The sequence below is a fragment of the Homo sapiens genome, chromosome 14, assembly GCF_000001405.40.
Source record: "Homo sapiens chromosome 14, GRCh38.p14 Primary Assembly".
Classification (NCBI taxonomy): Eukaryota; Metazoa; Chordata; class Mammalia; order Primates; family Hominidae; genus Homo; species Homo sapiens.
Genome location: NC_000014.9, coordinates 78049082 through 78070229, shown reverse-complemented (window position 1 = coordinate 78070229; position 21148 = coordinate 78049082). Strand labels below are relative to the sequence as shown.

The 21148-nt window shown below is 41.6% G+C and overlaps 1 pseudogene; it reads left to right on the top strand.

Annotated features, from left to right (window-relative positions):
* Nucleotides 9944-10636, top strand: FXNP1 (frataxin pseudogene 1; annotated as a pseudogene).

The following is a 21148-nucleotide window of genomic DNA, read 5'->3' as shown; positions in this document are numbered from 1 at the left end:
TGCTTTAATAGCAGGAATAAATTAGCCCTAAAGGCTGCTCTACATCTACCCTAATGCAGCTTTCAAAGGCATCAAAAGTATCCAACTGAATCCAAGGAACTTATCAGTGCCAACACAAAATTAAATATTATTTAAAGGAGCAAAACAAAATCCAGAAACCAATTATGTAAAATTCTGAGAGGCTTAAGACAATGGAAAGGTATTCTCTCACACTTCCAGAGGCCAGAGGTCTGAGAGAAAGGTGTCCATGCTGCCACCCTGCCTCCCGAGGCTCTGAGGGAGATGCATTCCGTGATTCTCTCTCCTGGCTTCTGGTGGGTGCTGGAAGTCCTTGACATTCCTTGGCTCCTAGCAGCATCACCCCAATCTCCCTACCTCCATCTTCACATGACCTCTTCCTCTGTATGTCTTCCCTGTGTGCCCGTCCCAAAACTCGTTCTACCTCACTCTTATAAAGATGTATGTGACTATTTAAAGCCTACCCAGATAATCCAGGATAAGCTCCTCCCCTCACAGTCCTTACCTTAATCATAACTTTTGCCACAAAAGGTAATCATTCATTCTTTTTCACTCTAAACAATCACAGGTACAGGGATTAGGACGTGGACATATTTTAGGAGGGCCACCATTCAGCCCAATACAGTGCTATTATACATTTTTTATGCTATATGTCAAGAGGTATAATGTTGCTTGAAAGTAAAGTAAGATTGCTTAAAGATGTAAGGATACAGAATAATTTAACAATGCTATTAACTTACTTGACCTAATTGATATTTATTGAACAAGCCACCCAGCAATAGAAGAATACACACTCTTTGTAATTATATATGGTGCATTCACCAAACAGACTGTATTCTAGGCCATGGAACAAGTCTCAATAAGTTTAAGAAGATTGAAGTCATACAAAATGTTCTCTGATCACGATGGAATTAAACCAAAATCAAAAATGGTAAAATATCTGGAAGATCCCTCAACATCTAGAAATTAATTAAACAATATACTTCTAAATAACACACAAGCAAATAAAAAATCAAAAGTGAATTAGACAATATTTTGAATTGAATAAAAATGAAAATACATTATAGCTAAAGGAGTTCTTAGAGGAAAACTTACAACATTAAATGCTTACAGCATAAAAGAAGAAAAGCTTTATTTAATGATCTAGGCTACTCATCTTAAGAAACAAGAAAAAAAAATTAAACCTAAAATAATCCGAATAAATGAAACAACAAAGTTAAGGGAAGAAATGAAGGAATTTGAAAACAAAATCAATTTTTAAAATTCAATATAACAAATAGATTTTTTTTGAAAAAAATCAATGAAAGTAATAAAACTCTAGAGAGACTCATCAGGGAAAAAGACTAAAAAAATATATATCAAGTATGAAAGAGTTGACATCACTATGGATCCTAAGACATTTAAAAGATATTAAGGAAATATGAACATTATGCCATAAATTTATGAACTTAGATGAAAAGAAAAAATTTCTTAAAAGACACAAAGTACCAATATCCCTACACCTATTAAAGAAATTGAACTGTTTTCATTCTATTCTTGTTAATAAAACTAAATTATTCAATTTAAAAAATTGAAGTAAAGACTTTCCACATAGAAAATACCAATTAATTCTTGTCCACTGGTATACCATACCAAGTCACCACAAATTCAAGTTTGTACCACTGTGCTCCACCTACCACCAGTAACCCCATCCTCACTGCCACCCACGCAGTGGTCATCTAGACAGCTCTAAAATTCCATCCTATAACTGGCTAGTTATATGCAGAAGATTGAAACTGGACCCCTTCCTTACATCATATATAAAAATCAACTCAGGGCCGGGCATGGTGGCTCACTCCTGTAATCCCAGCACTTTGAGAGGCCAAGGCGGGCAGATCACCTGAGGTCAGGAGTTCGAGACCAGCATGACCAACATGGAAAAACCCCCGTCTCTACTAATAATACAAAAGTTAGCCAGGCATAATGGTGCATGCCTGTAATCCCAGCTACTCAGGAGGCTGAGGCAGGAGAATTGCTTGAACCCAGGAGGGAGAGGTTGCAGTGAGCCAAGCTCATGCCATTGCACTCCAGCCTGAGCAACAAGAATGAAACTCCATCTCAAAAAAAAATCAACTCGGGATGGATTAAAGACTTAACTGTGAAACCTAAAACCTATTTTAAAAAACCCTGGAATATAATCTGGGAAATACCATTCTGGATATAGGCCCTGTCAAAGATTTCATGACAAAGACACCAAAAGCAATTGCAACAAAAACAAAAATTGACACATTGAGACCTAATTAAACTAAAGAGTTTCTGCACTGCAAAAGAAATTATCAGCAGAGTAAACTGACGGCCTACAGAATGGAAGAAAATATTTGCAAACTATGCATCTAACAAAGGTCTAACATCTAGAATCCATAAGGAACTTAAACAAACTAACAAGTAAAAAACAATCCCATCAAAAAAGTGGACAAGGGACATGAATACACATTTTTCAAAAGAGATACATACACCCAACAAGCAGATGAGAAAATGTTCAACATCACTAATCATTAGAGAAATGCAAATTAAAACCACAATGATATACTATATCAATCCAGTCAGAATGGCTATTATTAAAAATTCAAAAAATAACAGATGCTGGTGAGGTTGCAGAGAAGAGGGAACACTCTTACACTGCTGGTGGGAATGTAAATTAGTTCAGCCATTGTGGAAAGCAATGTGGGGATTTCTCAAAGAACTTAGAAATACTATTCAACTCAGCAATCTCATTATTGGGCATACATCCAAAGAATATATATCATTCTACCATAAAGACACATGCACATGTACGTTCATTACAGCAACATTCACAATCGCAAAGACTGGAATCAACCTAAATGCCCATCAATGGTAGACTGGATAAAGAAAATGTGGTATATATACACCATGGAATATTACATGAAACAACAAAGTTAAGGGAAGAAATGAAGGAATTTGAAAACAAAATCAATTTTTAAAATTCAATATCACAAATAGATTTTTTTTAAAAAATCAATAAAAGTAATAAAACTCTAGAGAGACTCATCAGGGAAAAAGACCAAAAAAAATACCAATATCAAGTATGAAAGAGTTGACATCACTATGGATCCTAAGACATTTAAAAGATAGCCATTAAATAGAATGACATTATGTCCTTTGCAGCAGTGTGGATGGAGCTGGAGGCCATTATCATAAGTGAACTGACACAGGAACAGAAAATCAAATACCGCATGTTTTCACTTATAGGTGGTAGCCAAACATTGAGTACACATGAACACAAAGAAAGGAACAACAGACACCAGGACCTAGGGCCTACTTGAGGGTGGAGAGTGAGGATTGAAAAACTACCTATCAGGTACTATGATTATTACCTGGGTGACAAAGTAATCTGTACAACAGGCCCCCATGACACAGTTTTCATATATGACAAACCCGCACATGTAGTCCTGAACCTAAAATAAAGGTTTAAAAAATAGCAGGTGAAAAAATAAATAAATATGTAAAATCTCATCCTAGCATCTGCTTTCCCTGACCATCTCTGGTACCTACTGTCACAGGTTAGCTTCCCTGAGAAGCAGGATTTGAAATGGAGATTAGCACTCAAGAAGTTTATTATAGGAGGCACTTAGAATCAACACCCATGGAGGGGAGGGGAAAGAGGCAGCTTGGGCAGACAGAGCAGCTGAATCTGGATGTAGTCTCAATGCAGGCTTCTGCTGACCCTCCAAGGTCAGTTTTGAGGCTACGATGACACTTCTGAGTTATCCTGACTTGGGGGGAGGATGCCAGAGCTTTGTACCCTGGCTTCCATCAGTCACTGGATATAGCCACCCCAGAAATTGGGTCGGACGCTGAACCAGGCAGCTCTCTGCAACTGATGCCATCCCAGGAGGGCTGGCAGCTGAGCATGTCACAGCATCCACCACTCTTCCCAAAAATAAACTACCTGCACCCAAGTGCTGGCTTCAGCCTTTACTCTCAGGGAAACTGAAACAAGAACAACTGCAAACATTTGGGATGCACAGTTCACTCATAAGGCGGGAGAAATTCCCATAGTACACTAAATTGTTATTTAGAAAAGAAATGCATGAAACCTTTGGGACTCTTTTCTATATTTCTTTTCCAGGAAAGTCCTTTATTTCACCCAGCTTGAACATACTCACTCAAGGAGGACTCTCTGGGCCTCCAAACACTGAACATCAATCTCTGTGAACAGAAAGCTGGTCATTGAGGAATTAAATTCCAAAGTTCTCATGTAAGGCTTTACTATACATAAGAACAGGGCAAGGCCAGGCTGTGTGGTTAGGCCCTGATAGCGGTCTAGGCTTGGAGTGGAACTACATCCATGAAGGCAAGTTCAATCCAACTGTGCCTCATATTTGCCTTTCTCCTACTCTTTCCTAGACACATTGTCTTAGTTCATTCCTGCTGATATAATAAAATACCTTAGCCTCAGTAATTTATAAATAACAGAAATATATTTCTCACAGTCCTGAAGGCTGGGAACTCCAAGATCAAGGCACTGTCAGGTCAGGGGTCTGGTGAGGGCCTGTTCCTCATAGGTAGCATGGGAGACAGAAGGACAAAAAAGAACCTATTTCCCTCTATCCCTTTTATAGGGCATTAATTTTATTTGCAAGGGTGGAGCCCTCATAACCTAATCACCTCGCAAAGGCCCCACATTCTAACACCATCACTGTGGGGTATAAGTTCCAATATATGAATTTTGGAAGGACAGCCACATTTAAACTGTAGCATTCTATCCCCGGCCTCCAAAACTCTTGTCTTTCCTACATGCAAAATACATTCATTCCACCCCATTAGCCCCAAAAGTCTTAACTCACTCCAGCACCAACTCAAAAGTCTAAAGTCCAGAGTCTCATCTACATCAAATATGGGTGAGACTCAAGGTACAATTCAGCCTGAGGCAAACTGCCCTGCAGCTGTGGACCTATGCAATCAAACAAGTTATGCCCTGGCCCCCTCTTTTCAAATCATTCTGCCATTGAGGTCCTGGCACTCTGGGCCTGCGATGGGTGGACAGCCATGAAGATCTCTGAAATGCCTTTGGGGCAATTCTTCCATTGTCCTGATGAATAGCATCTGACTTTCATCTATTCATGCTAATCTCCTTATCAAATATTCACTTGGCCACACACTTTGGTGTTTTCTCCCAAAAATGCTTTTTTATTCTTTACATGGCCGGGCTGAGAATTGTCCAAGCCTTTAAGTTCTGCTTTCCTTTTGATTCTGAACTCCATGTTTAATTCATTTCTCTCCTTACAGTTTACTGTAAGCAGTCAAGAGAAGCTATGCAGCACCCTCACCACTTTGCTTAGAGATTTCCTCTACCAAATATCCTAGTTCATTACTCTTAAGTTCTGCCTTCCACAAAGCACCAGAACACAGACACAGTTCAGCCAAGTTCCTCACCACTTTATAACAAGGATGGTCTTTCCTCTAGTTTTCAATACTTTGTTCCTTATTTCCATCAAAGACTTCATCAGAATTGCCTTTGCTGTCCATATTTCTACCAATGTTCTGATCACAACCACTTAAGCAATCTCTAAGAAGATTAAGGCTTTCTTGATAGCTCTCCTTTTTTCTCAGCCCTCCCCAGAATAGCCCTGTGTGGTCCATTCTTTACCCATTACCCATTCCCAAAGCCACCTTTACATTGTCAGGTATTTGTTATAGCAACACCCTACTTCTCAGTACCAATTTCCTAGTCCATTTCTGCCACTATAACAATAAACTGGGTAATTTATAATCAACAGAAATTTATTTTTTCACAGTTCTGAAGACTGGGAAATCCAAGATCAAGGTGAGGTGCCAGCAGATTCAGTGTCTAGTGAGGTCTTCTGTATGCTTCTAAGATGGAGCCTTTTTCCCATGTCCTCATGTGGTAAAGGCAAACAGGAATGAACACTGTCCTCACATGGCAGAAGAGATGGGAGGGCAGAAAGGCACCATGGCACTCCCTCAACTTCTTTTTATGAAAGCACTAATCCCATCTATAAGAATGGAGCCCTCATGGCGTAATAACTTCCTAAGTGCCCTACCTCTTAATTCCATCACCTTGAAAGTTACATTTCAACAGGTATTTTGGAGAGAAACAAACTTTAAACCATAGCACACTACTTTCCAGGGCACATCCCATCTCAAAGTAGCACAAAACATAAGGAGAGGTCTTAGAGCAAGTTTGTTCAACCTGCAGCCTGCAAGCCATATGCAGCCCAGGATGGCTTTGAATGCAGCCCAACGCAAACTTGTAAACTTTCTTAAAACATTATGAGTTTTTTTTTTTTTTTGCAGGGTTTTTTGTTTGTTTGTTTGTTTTTTAGCTCATCAGCTATCATTAGTGTTAGTGTATTTTATGTGTGGCCCAAGACAATTTTTCTTCTTCCAATGTGGCCCAGTTAAGCCAAAGGACTGGACACCCCTGTCTTAGAGCTTTAAGCAGCTGGTAGAAACTGGGAAAAGATTGGTTTCATTGCAAGTCCAATTTAGGCCTAGGAAGAAATCAGGCTGATGTGATATGATAAATGATCCAAGGGTGCAGGAAGAGGCACATCCTCTGGACTGGCCTCATTTATATCATCATTCTAGCCATTACCCTGCTTAATTGGGCCAACTGGCTGCATCAGCCCCAGACAGTAGCTTCATCCTTACCCAGAGGCTCCAGCAGCTACAGGTCAGCAACTACATTGTCCCAGCCTTTCCTCTTCTCCCTCACGTGGAATCTAATCTGCCCCTCCCTACTTATTGGAGATACTCTCTCTTTATTGAAGAACAGAAAGGTTGGGTACCATAGTGAGATGTGGTATAAAAATTATTGCCTTTGGCATCAGACTGGCTACAGGCCCAATCTCAGCTTTACCAATTATCACTCTTGCATCATGGGCAACTTAATTCTGTATGCCTTGCTTTTCTCATTTGCAGGACTGTGAATATTATCTAATTTATAAGGTGGTTGTAAGGATTAAATGGGATCATATATTTGAACCTTGCCCAAGGTGCTTAACAAAATCTACTTCCTTCATCTCCCACCATCAGGTGACTTTGATTGTCCTGCCCTGTACTAAGCATTACTGGGATACAATCTATGACACTTGTGAAAGCACTTACAATCTGTAAGCTCCACAGAGACAAGGACTATGTTTATTTTGTTCACCAGTGTACAGCCAGCATCTAGTACAATGCCCGGCACATGCAGGTACCCAGAAATATTTGTTGATTGAATGACAAAATGAATTATGCAAACTTGAATCATAAAATCTTAGAATTATAGCATTGAAAAGGCCCTAAAAGAGCATCTAGTCTAGGGATGGTATATCACTTACTTGTTTGTCCACTCCAACTTATATGTAGTTAATGCCTAGGGCACTGTGTTAAGAAGCATTCTGAGGCCACATTTGTCCTTACTAGGTGAGAGTGGTGCGACTAATTAGCAATGTCTGGCAAAGGTGTGAAAGGGGATCAAGCATCCCTAGTACCTGTACTTACCCTCTTTGGTCTAAACTAACACACCATTGTACAGATGAGGAAACAGGAGAACAAAGATCACACATCCAGTTAGTGCCTGACTTGGGCACAAAGCCACCTCTTCCAACACTCAACTCTGGATGTGAGCAGCAGAAAAAAAAAAAAAAAAAAAAAGACTGGTAAAGGTCTGATTTGCAAGATAATGACAGCAAGTTGGGAACGAAAGGTCACAGAGACTCTAAGCAGCCTTTCCTTCCAGCCATGGTCCCAGGATAAACATTTTTCCTCCACCCCTATGAGCAGGGTACAAGCAGGAATTTGGAAGAGATGCTGATGGGTAGCACTAACTGAGAAATTTCAGTGGGACCCAGGGACCAAACTCCCTCATTAATTCCCTCTTACCGGCATCACTTCCTTTCTGGCCACTTCAGTTCTTCATCAGCCCCCACCCCATTTTTGGTAAGGGGCTGCTCCTCCCTCTTCCTCAGGCTCCCAGGTTCCTCAATCACGGTCCTCATTTAACGTAACTTTGTCTCATCTCTCTCCAAATCCCTGTTTGGGAGAAGCAAAGAGAAGAGTAATTAGCAAATTCAGCATTCTGGTAACTCTTCTACAGGGAAGAATAATCATCTGTTAGCTTAAGTAAATCCCTGGATCTTGATTAGCTGTCCAGCGCTGACAAAGAAATGAGAATGGGCTCACTCACTGTGCCTGAGGCTCTGCATGAGACTTGGAGGGCAGGCAAAAGGCAAAATAAAATTTTTTTCATTTAAAACGGAGAACTCCTCTCAAGGAAGTAGAGCATAACTTCCTACTCATTAAGCGTGGGCTGCATGCATATAGAGACTTCCTTCTAAAAAGTCCAGTACAGAAAGATGGAAGGGCTGGGGGGATAGCTTTACAGTGGAGAACCCCGACAAACACTATCCCAGCTAGGTGATCAAGCTCAACGGCAGTGATAAGACATGTTGATGGCATGCACCCTTGAAATGATGTGATGAGAAGGGCATTTCACCTCTGTGATTTACTTTTCCAAAACACACAACTCCAATCTAATCATATGACACCTCAGACAAACTCTAATTGAGGGTCATTCTACAAGTGTCCAGCAGCTACTGGTCAGCAACTACACTGTATTGCACTGAAGAATACGCTAGTATTCTTTAAAATTGTCAAAGTCATCAAAAGCAAGGAAAGTCTAAGAAATGTTCACAGCCAAGAGGAGCCTAAATGTAATGTGATATCCTGGATGGGTTCTGGAACAGAAAAAAGATAGGAAGGGATAAGGAAATGTGAATAAAGAATGGACTTTAGTTAATAATAATGTATCAATGTTGGCTCATCAATTATAACAAATGTACCTTACTAATGTAAAATGTTAACACTACTGGAAATCGTATTTAGGTCTTAATCCATTCAGGCTGTGATAACTAAATATCATAGACTAGTACCTTATAAACAAAGGAAATTTATTTCCACAATTAGAAAAGCAAGAAGTTCAAGATCAAGGTGCTGGCAGATTTGGCATCTGGTGAGGATCCATTTCCCAGTTAATAGATGGTGCAGTCTTGCTGTGTCTTCTCTTGGTGGAAGGGGAGAATGAGCTCCCTCAGGCCTATTTTATAGGGGCACTAATCCCAACCATAAGGGCTCTGCCCTCAGAAGCTAATCACCTCCTAAAAGGCCCCACTTCCTAATACCATCACCTTGCAGGGGTAAGATTTCAACAAACGAATTTGAAGGCAGGGCTGGGGGTGTGGGTCACCAAGATTCAGACCACATCCTAGAGTATATGAGAATTCTGTATTATCTTCACAATTTTTCTGTAAATCTAATACTATCCTAAAATAAAACATTTTTTAAATTAAAGGCAAGGATCTTATGGGTCACCTGAAGAACAGCCCTGGCCAGCAACTCTGGTTATACTTGTGACAACAGGATTGTCCACATTCTCCCTCCCTCTGAAATGACTTTTTTACACTGAACAGCCACCGGCCCCTTCTCTTCCCACCCATGGTCTGAGTTCTGCTCTCCAAAATCCACAGAAAAAGTCTGGAGTCTACACTTCTCTCCAGCACAGCCCCCAAATATTTCAATTTCATGTCTCATCAAACCACAGAAGACCTGCAAACATCTTCCACTCCCAAACCTTCATTTTAGAACAGGAAACATGGGCCCAGGGAACAGGAAACTCACCTATGGTCATACAGACACTGACACCCAGGTTTGCTCACACCAGTCTATAGCCCTCTTTTTTAGAAGATTCTGCTCATAAGAAGAAAGTTAACATGTGCCCCGGTTTGCTCCTGAGAGTACACATCACTATTTCCTTCACCATTCATCATAATTTGGGACATCCAGATGCTCCAGAACCCTCCCAGGAGGACCCTCATCAGCTTGTGAATGTCTCCCTTACCCTCCCCCAAGTATTTTTAAGAAGAAACTGACTAGCGGAGGAAACGCTGGACTCCTTAGCAGAAATTTTTGAAGACCTTGCAGATGAGCCATATGCATTTGAGGACTATGATGTTTCCTTTGGGAGTGGTGTCTTAACTATTAAACTGGGTGGAGATCTAGGAACCTATTTGATCAACAGGCAGGCACCAAACAAGCAAATCTGGTTATCTTCTCCATCCAGTGGGCCCAAGAATTATGATGGGACTGGGAAAAACTGCATGTACTCCCATGACAGCGTGTCCCTCCATGAGCTGCTGGCCACAGAGCTCACTGAAGTCTTGAAAACCAAACTGGACTTGTCTTCCTTGGCCTATTCCAGAAAAGACACTTGATGCCCAGCCCAGTTTTAAAGATATTAAAAGCTAACAGACCAAGACCCCAGCTTCATTACACAGCTGAGGTCTGTTGGGTTTTTTTGTTGTTGTTGTTGTTTTATTCTTGCTTCTGAAGACAGTTGGGCAATGGGTAATGGCTCTGTGGAAAGAATGTGTGGCCTCCCACCTTGCCCCCAAGCTCTGATTTTTAATTTCTACAGATTTTTTTGGATTAATTATTTGATTTCCTCCCTCCCTCACACCATATCCCTTATCTTTTTTAATGTCTTATGCCTATGCCTGAATAAAATAACCTTTAAAAAAGCAAAATAAGAAGGAAAAATTCCAGGAGGAGAAAAAAAAAAAAAAGGAAGAAGAAGAAGAGACCAGAGTTAGGGATGTTAAAGGAACCAGTATCTTCTCCCTCCTAACAGTTGATGCCCAAAATTGAATACTGCAAATGACAGCTAACCAATGTAGTAACTCTGTGGCATGCAGTTACAAATAAATAAACACACTATCCCTAAGTGAGCCTCACGTGCACACTGGCTAATGGTCACATACATCAAGCATGGGTCTGAATGCAGCCTTTAGCCAACCAAATCATCAGGGTCAATGTCACCAGCACTTCATGTCCGCCTCCTTCATACTTCTTCCAATAAGTTTTTACCCAATGAGAAGGGATAAAGGAAGGAGCCAGACGAGAACTGCACGAGGTGCATTACATATGTTATCCATTGACTAATTCAATAAGCTGTTATGGAGTGCCATCGAGTGCCAGGAATTGGGGGAAGAACTGAGGATACAAAAATCATAAGATACCACCCAGGTCCTGGATGATTTCAGTTTGGTCGGAAAGACTTTCATGTCAACAACAAATTGCACAACAATGTGACTGAAACAATGGAAGCATGAGGTTAGGAGGTAACCCCCAATACTTTGTGAGGGATGTATTATTTGCCTATGGTTATGTTTTCCCGATGAGGAAACTCAGGCTTCAAAAAGTTAAATACCTTGCCCAAAGAAACAAGTTACTCAATGGTAGAGGTAGAAATTTCAAGTCAGGATGACAGAGCTCCAGAATCCATACTTTTCCAGTTACAGTGGAATAACGTTTCCCAAATGAAGTTATTGGTACGTGTTCTGCAAAATGTGTCCCATGGTCAATTAAGTTTGAGAATTTAGTATAGTACTTCTTTGTCTAGGAAATTCAAAATGTCCATATGGCTCTAAGAAGTCTTGCAATAAAAAATCTATTTACAATTTAAAATATGTTACAAATGCCCACCTAAATATTTTTTCTGAACCCTTTATTTCAGAGAATACTTATTCAGATATAGTGAACTAATGTTACAGGAACTGTATTTTGGAAAACTCACCTCTATACCCTGCCGTCAACCATAAGGTAAACAAATGCAATTATGATGCCCTTGTAAAAATAAGCTTAACTTGTACTTGACATGTTAGAACTGACAAAGCCAAAAGTATCCCTCTGAATAGATTCATAATCCATGAGATTTAACAGGAGTTTAAGTCTAGATGGCATAAAGGTAAAGATATGCCTTGGGCCAAGACCTCTGGGTTCAGCTCCAAATGCTTTACCCAAACGACCTCCCAGAGTTCTTTGGGTAGCTCTGAGGCCTTGACTTGCAGGAGGCCAATGAATAAAAGTACTGGAGGAGGTATTAAGTGAAAGAGGAGGTGATAAGGAAGGAGAAAGGCACATGGCAATATAAGAAAATAAGAAGAGGAGGAGGAGGAAGAGAAGGAGGAGGAGAGCAATAAGAAGATGATTGGAAAAGTTCCTTGGAAAGAAGGAGAGGGGCAATGTTATCCTATCATTGCAGCCTTGGCTTCCAGGCACTATTTGTGATCATGAAATGCTACTGATAACACCATATTCATTTCCTTTTTCTTTGAGACAGAGTCTCACTCTGTTGCCCAGGCTGGAGTGCAATGGCGCAATCTCGGCTCACTGCAACCTCCGCCTCCCAGGTTCAAGCGATTCTCCCGCTTCAGTCTCCCAAGTAGCTAGGACTATAGGCACGTGCCATTATACCCAGCTAATTTTTGTATTTTTAGTAGAGATGAGGTTTCACCATGTTGGCCAGGCTGGTCTCGAACTCCTAACCTCAGATGATCCAACCGTCTCGGCCTCCAAAAGTGCTGGGATTACAGGCATGAGCCACGGCGCCCGGAATTATTTCCTTTTTCTTATCAATCTCCCTAAATCAGGATTTCTAAACTATGGCACCACTGACATTTTGAGCCAGTCCATTCTTTGTTTGGGGGTGAGGCAGCGGCTGTCCTCTGCATTGTAAAATGTTTAGCAGCATGCCTAGCCCCTCCCATATGCCACTATTATTTGCCAGTAGCACCCTTGCCCCAGGTGTAACAACTAAAAATGTCTCCAGACATTGCCAAATGTCCTCTCCCAATTTCAAACCACTGCCTAAATGGTTATTTGGTGTCTGTCATCATCCCATAATCTCCAAATCAGAAAGATTAGCTTGCAAAACAAAGACATAGCCATTCCTGAATATTATTACCTGGTCCCCAGGCGCTTTTCAGTAGGAACCCACTAGTTACTGCCAGTTCATGCCAAATTCTACTCATTCCTGAGAGCCCACCTCAAATCTCACCACCTGCTTCCGTTAAGTCTTCCTGCCAGCTTAAGTCAGTGATGATCCCTCCTCTTCCCACTCTATCCTACCTTTCGTTGTACTGTATTATCCATTATTGATACATGATTGACTTCAGTTAAGCAGCTATATGTCTTTTATCTTGTACTGTCCTATATTAGTTCATTCTCACACTGCTAGAAAGAAATCCCTGAAACTGGGTTGGTTATTTATTTATTTATTTATTTATTTATTTATTTATTTACTGGGAGACAGAGTCTGGTTCTGTTGCCCAGGCTGGAGTGCAGTGGCACAATCTCAGCTCACTGCAACCTCCGCCTCCCAGATTCAAGCAATTCTCCTGCCTCAGCCTCCCAAGTACCTGGGATTACAGGTGTCCACCACCATGCCTGGCTAATTTTTTGTACTTTTAGTAGAGATGGGGTTTTGCCACGTTGGTCTGGCTGGTCTTGAACTCCTGACCTCAAGTGATCCGCCCGCCTCAGCCTCCCAAAGTGCTAGGATTACAGGCGTGAGCCACCATGCCCAGCCAGACTGGGTAATTTATAAAGAAAAGAAGTTTAATTGACTCATGGTTCCACAGGCTGTATAGGAGGCATGATGTTGACCATCTGCTTCGTTTCTGGGGAAGCCTCAGGAAACTCACCACCATGGTGGAAGGAAAAGGGGGAACAAGGCTTTCACATGGTGGGAGCGGGGTGGGTGGGTGGGGATGCTACATGCTTTTAAGCAACCAGATCTTGTGAAAACTCACTCACTATACGGTACCAAGAGAGCATGGTGCTAAACCATGTATGAGAACCCCACTCCCGTGACCCAGTCCCCCCCCACCAGGCCCCACCTCCAACACTGGGGATTACAGTTCAACACAAGATTTGGGCGGGGGTATAGATCCAAACCTCATCATGTCCTGTAATTCATTTTCAGTGAGCAAACATCAATAGAACATGTATGATATATCAGACACCGTGCTGGTGCAGCACCACATGTAGACACATATAGGATACGATCCTTTCCCTTAAGAAGTTCACAGTCAGCCGGGTGCGGTGGCTCATGCCTGCAATCCCAGCACTTTGGAAGGCCAAGGCAGGTGGATCATGAGGTCAGGAAATCAAGACCATCCTGGCTAACACAGTGAAACCCTGTCTCTTCTAAAAATACCAAAAATTAGCCGGGCCTGGTGGCGGGCGCCTGTAGACCCAGCTACTCGGGAGGCTGAGGCAAGAGAATGGTGTGAACCTGGGAGGCGGAGCTTGCAGTGAGCCCAGATCGCACCATTGCACTCCAGCCTGGGCGACAGAGGGAGACTCTGTCTCAAAAAAAAAAAAGAAGAAGAAGAAGAAGAAGAAGTTCACAGTCTTTGGCATAATCCCAGCACTTTGGGAGGCCAAGGTGGGTGGATCACCTGAGGTCAGGAGTTCGAGACCAGCCTAACATGGTGAAACACCATCTCTACTAAATACAAATAAAAATAATAATAATAATAATAAGCTGAGCATGGTGGCGCATATCTGTAATCCCAGCTACTCGGGAGGCTGAGGCAGGAGACTCGCTTGAATCCAGGAGGCAGAGGCTGCAGTGAGCTGAGATCATGCCATTGCACTCCAGCCTGGGAAACAAGAGCAAAACACCATCTCAAAAAAAAAAAAAAAGTTCACAGTCTCATAGGAAGGTATACCCAAAAGTTGCAGTCTTGCACAGCTGTTTGTCTTGTGTCCTCTCTCAGGAAACACATGTGTCCCTGAGGGTAAAGGCAAAAGTCTTTTGACAAAAGTCCAGTTCTTCTTTTGTGTCCACTACAGTGCTGAGCGTGCAGTAGGTGCCAAGAGATTGCACTGAACTGGGATCAGAAGAGGCAGACCTGGATCACATCAAAAGAACCAAAAAGCTTCAATGAAAGCACATCTCCACAAGGGCAACTGACATCCTTCTAGGACCACATTGAGCAACTTCTTTTATGAAATGATGGTAAACGTAGGTGGTAGTTGTCTTTTTTTTTGAGACAGGGTCTTACTCTGTTGCCCAAACTGGAGTGCAGTGGTGCAATCATGGCTCACTGCAGCCTCGAACTCTGGGCTCAAGTGATCCTCGACCTCAACACCCTAAGAAGCTGGTAGCTGAGACTACAGGCACATACCACCATGCCTGCCTAATCTTTTTTTTTTTTTTTTTTTTTTCAGAGACAGGGTTCTCACTATTTTGCCCAGGCTGGTCTTGAACTCCTGGCCTCAAGTGATCCACCCACCTCAGCCTCCCAAAGTGCTGGGATTACAGGTGTGAGCCACTGCACTCAGCCTTCTTTTTTAACTTTTACTCCATGAAATCCAAATGTCTGTGACCTACAGCTATAATAGGGAAAGTACAGAAAAAGAGAAGGGGAAAGGAAGGGACTAAGAAATACCTTTCAGACAAATAGGAAGTAATGAAGACTGCAAAAATAACTACTGACAACAAATAGGCTAAGGAACACTTGGAATAGGTGAGCACATGTCAAAGCAGCAAATCACAGGAGTCTGCATTACTGAGTCTATGAGGGATATGCTGACACGCTAACATTTTTTAAAAGAGATGGAGAACAAAGGGACAAAAGGTGTGCAGGAAGGCAGGTGGAGGTATTCACCTTCTTAAGGCAGAAAAAACAAGAGCCCTAAATGGCCATGGTTCAAGAAGGTTGGCTTTGGCATTTCTAAGAAACCATGAAATAGAGTTTAAAATGTTTAAACAACAAAGATGAATAGAGGCTGTGGGACCAGGAGCAATGGAGCAGAGGCCACCAGTTTGAGCCAGCAAGCAGAATCTACAGTGTCAAAGCGTAGAGATGCTGAATAAATAGCAGAGGGAGTTAATAGTATTATTACTGTCCCATTAAGAGTTACCTGGAACAGGCCGGGCGCGGTGGCTCATGCCTGTAATCCCAGCACTTTGGGAGGCCGAGGCAGGTGGATCACGAGGTCAGGAGATCGAGACCATCCTGGCTAACACGGTGAAACCCCATCTCTACTAAAAATACAAAAAATTAGCCGGGAGTGGTGGCAGGCACCTGTAGTCCCAGCTACTTGGGCGGCTGAGGCAGGAGAATGGCGTGAACCTAGGAGGCGGAGGTTGCAGTGAGCCGAGACTGCGCCACTGCACTCCAGCCTGGGCGACAGAGCGAGACTCTGTCTCAAAAAAAAAAGCAAAAAGAGTTACCCGGAACAAAGCAAGCTTCACCTGGCCCTACAGGCTTTTCCCTTTCTCTCTTTTGACTTGAACTAAGATCACATGTGACATTTATATGCAAGCCTTGAAAAGAACCAAGCTGGTGGCTATAGGAAATTTCTAAACATTCTGTCCTTGACATGCACCAGAGAAAGGGAAGCACAACACCGGGTGGCTAATGGAACTCATGCTTTTCTGGTTTTAGAGCACCCCTTTGCCCAGGGCCTATACAGATCTAAACACACATCAGGACACACTCCACTCAGCCTTTTCCTCTACAACCAAAGCCCATCCTGCCCCATCACCATTCTCCAGCCCCAGAACGCATTTTCCTCCTCACCCTTGCCAGTCATAGAAAACTCAGGAATCCAGGCTAAATACAGCCAAAGGCTTTCCTTGCACAGAACTGGAGCCCAGGAGCCAGCAGCCCACAGCAGGAGGAGAAGTGGTGGCAAATTAAAGCTGGGTGGCCCGAGGGGCAGGGAAAGACCAAGACCATCTCCACACCAGGTGCTGGACATTGTTAGGCAAAAGTGTTCAAATGAAGACCAAGAGGTCTTAAAGAGAAGATGGCACTTCTTTAGACAAGTCCAAACTTTGCCAAATAGGGACGAAGCCTTTGACGCAGTTACTTTCAGGCCACAGCTCTAGTCTATCCTGTCCTGGAAAATCAGAGCTTCATGGAAGAGTCCTATTCATGGGCCCTGGAAAGATGTACAGACCTCAGGGCCAGCCCAGGCCATGAGATGTGCAACATGGGAGAAATGAGAAACAGTCTCTATTGACCTGGACATGGGGCCCAAGAACACAAAGATGAGAGGAATGGTTTGTCTTTTAAGGTCCTTTAAAGCCAGGCATGGTTCACATGCCTGTGGTCCCAGCTACTTGGAAGACTGGAGTGGCAGGATTGCTTGAGTCCAAGAGTCCAGCCTGGGCAACGTAATGAGAACCCATCTCTTAAAAAAAGAAAAAAAGAAAGTTGAAGCAAAAATATGCAAAGTCTTCCTGCTAATATTAACATATCCATAGATCCTGACTCCCTAATAGGTAGTAAAATCAACTAGCAGGTTAAAAGCCTTTTTAAAAACCAAAATAGCATAGAATAGAAAATAGAAGACTAGGCGGGGTGCAGTGGCTTACACCTGTAATCCCAGCACTTTGGAAGGCTGAGGCAGGTGGATCACTTGAGGTAAGGAGTTCGAGACCAGCCTGGCCAACATGGTGAAATCCCGTCTCTACTAAAAATACAAAAATTAGCCAGGCATGGTGGCATGCCCCTGTAATCCCAGCTACTTGAGAGGCTGAGGCAGAAGAATCACTTCAACCCAGAGGCAGAGATTCCAGTGATCTGAGATCCTGTCACTGCACTCCAGTCTAGGCAACAGAGCGAGACTCATTCTCAAAAAAAAAAAGAAAAGAAAGTAGAAGACTGCATCACATGTAATAATGGTGAGTATTGTTTCATGAAGTGTCTCTGTGTCTATGTGTATACTAGGTCTTAATTTAAAATATTTGTTAAAAAAAGAAAAAAGATAAATAATATTTTTAAAAATATGTCAGCTCTAGGGAAAATAATAATAAAATGCATTCATTTACTGCAGATTATTGTCAAAAAGAAATTAAAAGCCACTGTTCTCAAGTAAACTTTGGTAAACTCTTACAAATTTCTAGTCAAATAAATCATTCATTCATTCATTCATTCATTCAGAAATATGTATTGAGTACCTACTCAGTGGTAGGCCTCTGCTGGACACTGGGGATACAATGCTAAGAGTCACAATAGGGAACACACTAACCAGTTGTGCCACAGAGACTGCTTCACAATTGCTACAAAGAGAATAAAATACCTAGGAATACAACTTACAAGGGATGTGAAGGATCTCTTCAAGGAGAACTACAAACCGCTGCTCAAGGAAATAAGAGAGGACACAAACAAATGGAAAAATATTTTGTGCTCATGGATAGGAAGAATCAGTATCCTGAAAATGGCCATACTGCCCAAAGCAGTTTACAGACTCAATGCTATTCTCATCAAACTACCATTGACTTTCTTCACAGAATTAGAAAAAACTACTTTAAACTTCATATGGAACCAAAAAAGAGCCTGTATAGCCAAGACAATCCTAAGCAAAAGCAACAAAGTTGGAGGCATCACACTACCTGACTTCAAATTATACTACAAGGCTACAGTAAACAAAACAGCATGGTACTGGTACCAAAACAGATATATAGACAAATGGAACAGAACAGAGACCTCAGAAATAACACCACACATCTACAACTATATGATTTTCAACAAACCTGGCAAAAACAAGCAATGGGGAAAGGATTCCACTATTTAATAAATGATTCTGGGAAAACTGGCTAGCCATATGCAGAAAACAGAAACTGGACACCTTCCTTAACCTTACACAAAAATTAACTCAAGATGGATTAAAGACTTAAATGTAAAACCTAAGACCATAAAAACCCTAGAATAAAACCTAGGCAATATCATTCAGGACATAAGTATGGGAAAGGACTTCCTGACTAAAACACTGAAAGCAATTGCAACAAAAGCCAAAACTGACAAATGGGATCTAATTAAACTAAAGAGCTTCTGCACAACAAAAGAAACTATCATCAGAGTGAACAGGCAACCTACAGAATGGGAGAAAATTTTTGCAATCTATCCATCTGACAAAGGGCTAATATCCAGAATCTATAAGGAACTTAAACAAATTTACAAGAAGAAAACAAATAACCCCGTCAAAAAGTGGGCAAAGAATATGAACAGACACTTCTCAAAAGAAGACATTTATGTGGCCAACAAACATATGAAAACAAACTCATCATCACTGGTCATTAGAGAAATGCAAATCAAAACCACAATGAGATACCATCTCATGCCAGTTAGAATGGCAATCATTAAAAAGTCAGGAAACAACAGATGCTGGCGAGGCTATGAAGAAATAGGAACACTTTTACACTGTTGGTCAGGGTGTAAATTAGCTCAACCATTGTGGAGGACAGTGTGGCGATTCCTCAAGGATCTAGAACCAGAAATACCATCTGACCCAGCAATCCCATTACTGGGTATATATCCAAAGGATTATAAATCATTCTACTACAAAGACACATGCACACATATGTTTATTGAAGCACTATTTAAATAGCAAAGACTTGGAACCAACCCAAACGCCCATCAGTGATAGATTGGATAAAGAAAATGTGGCACATATACACCATGGAATACTATGCAGCCATAAAAAAGAATGAGTTCATGTCCTTTGCAGGGACATGGATGGAGCTGGAAGCCATCATTCTCAGCAAACTAACACAGGAACATAAAATCAAACACCCCATGTTCTCACTTACAAGTGGGAGTTGAACAATGAGAACACATGGACACAGAGAGCGGAACATCACACACTGGGGCCTGTTGTAGGGTGGGGGTCAAGAGGAGGGAGAGCATTAGGACAAATACCTAATGCAGGGAGGGCTTAAAACCTAGATAACGGGTTGATGGGTACTCCAAACCACCATGGCACATGTATACAAACCACCATGGCACATGTATACATATGTAACAAACCTCCACATTCTGCACATGTATTCGAGAACTTAAAATAAAATAAAAATAAAAATAATTTTAAGAAAGAGTCACAATAATGAATAGTATTTGCACAGTTCTGGTTATATCTGGACACTCTCCTAAGTTCTTTACTTATGCTAAAGAATTTAGCCCTTACAACAAGCCTATGAGATAGGCTTCGTTATCATCAACATCTTTGTTCAGATGAGGAAACAGGTACTATGCAACTGAGTAACTTACAGGTCACACAGCTGGTAAGTGGCAGAGCCGAAATGTGAAACTGCCCAGGCTAGCTGCAGAGTCCCTGGTCTTCTCCATGAAGCTGTCATGCCCAAGGATTTGCCCTATGGCTCCCAGCAATATCCTTGTCACAGAAGTAGATCGTCTAAACCCAAGACCACCACAGATTGGACACATATTACTAACTCCCTGGTGTGAACTTGTACTGAATGGTCAAATGGAGGCTATGGTTTGGCTTCTAAGAAACCTGCCGTAGGAGAGAGAACACACTGCCCAGAATGGCCATTCCCTTTGGCATTTCTCCCTATACCAATTGATGGACTAGCATTCTCTTGATAGGAATTATATACCTCAGTGTCAATTAGCTTCATGGGCTGATAGATCAGTACTTGGAAGCTGTAAGCCTGAGGTTCAGTCCTGGACCTCAGGGACTGCAACAAGGAAATGCCCCTCAACATTTATGTGCCCTTGGCAGTTACCCTTCTGTGCCTTGGTTTCCTCCACCGTGAAAGAGGGATGACAACAATATCTACCTCATAAGGTAGATGTAGGCATTTAATGAAATAGTATATGTAAGGTGTTTAGCAAATGCCTAGCATATAGTAAACACCCACTTAATGTCAGCAAAGTGTTATTATTTATTTAGTGTTTACTAGCACTGAACTCAACCAATGGGAGAGAGAATGTGTAAGCCAATCACACCTGTAGAATGCTATGCAGAATGGAGGAGTTCTGGAAAGAGACTTAACTCCGCCAGGAAACTTCACAGAGGAGATATTACCTTGAAAAGAGTCTTGAAGAATAAACCAATGGGTGAAGCATGGGGAAAAGGACATTCCATCCAAATAGAGGGAATAACTTGGCAAAGACAAAGAGGACCTTCATGAACAAAGTATAAATGAATAAAATATATATAAAATATATAACAAAGTATAAATGAATAAAAATATGTCAGCACAATTTCCCCCTAATGCAGGCATGCCCATGAACAAAATCACTCAAAAAATCTCCAGCAAAAACTCCTGTAGCATGAGTTTTTTCCAAAGTTGTTTCAGATGTTGAAATATACATGTAACGTGCATATGTATACATACTCATTTCTAGGCAGGTGAAAATCTCAGCCCTAAAAGAAATTTTTTTAAAAAAAGTCTGTTCATATCCTTCACCCACTTTTTGATGGGGTTGTTTTTTTCTTGTAAATTTGTTTGAGTTCTTTG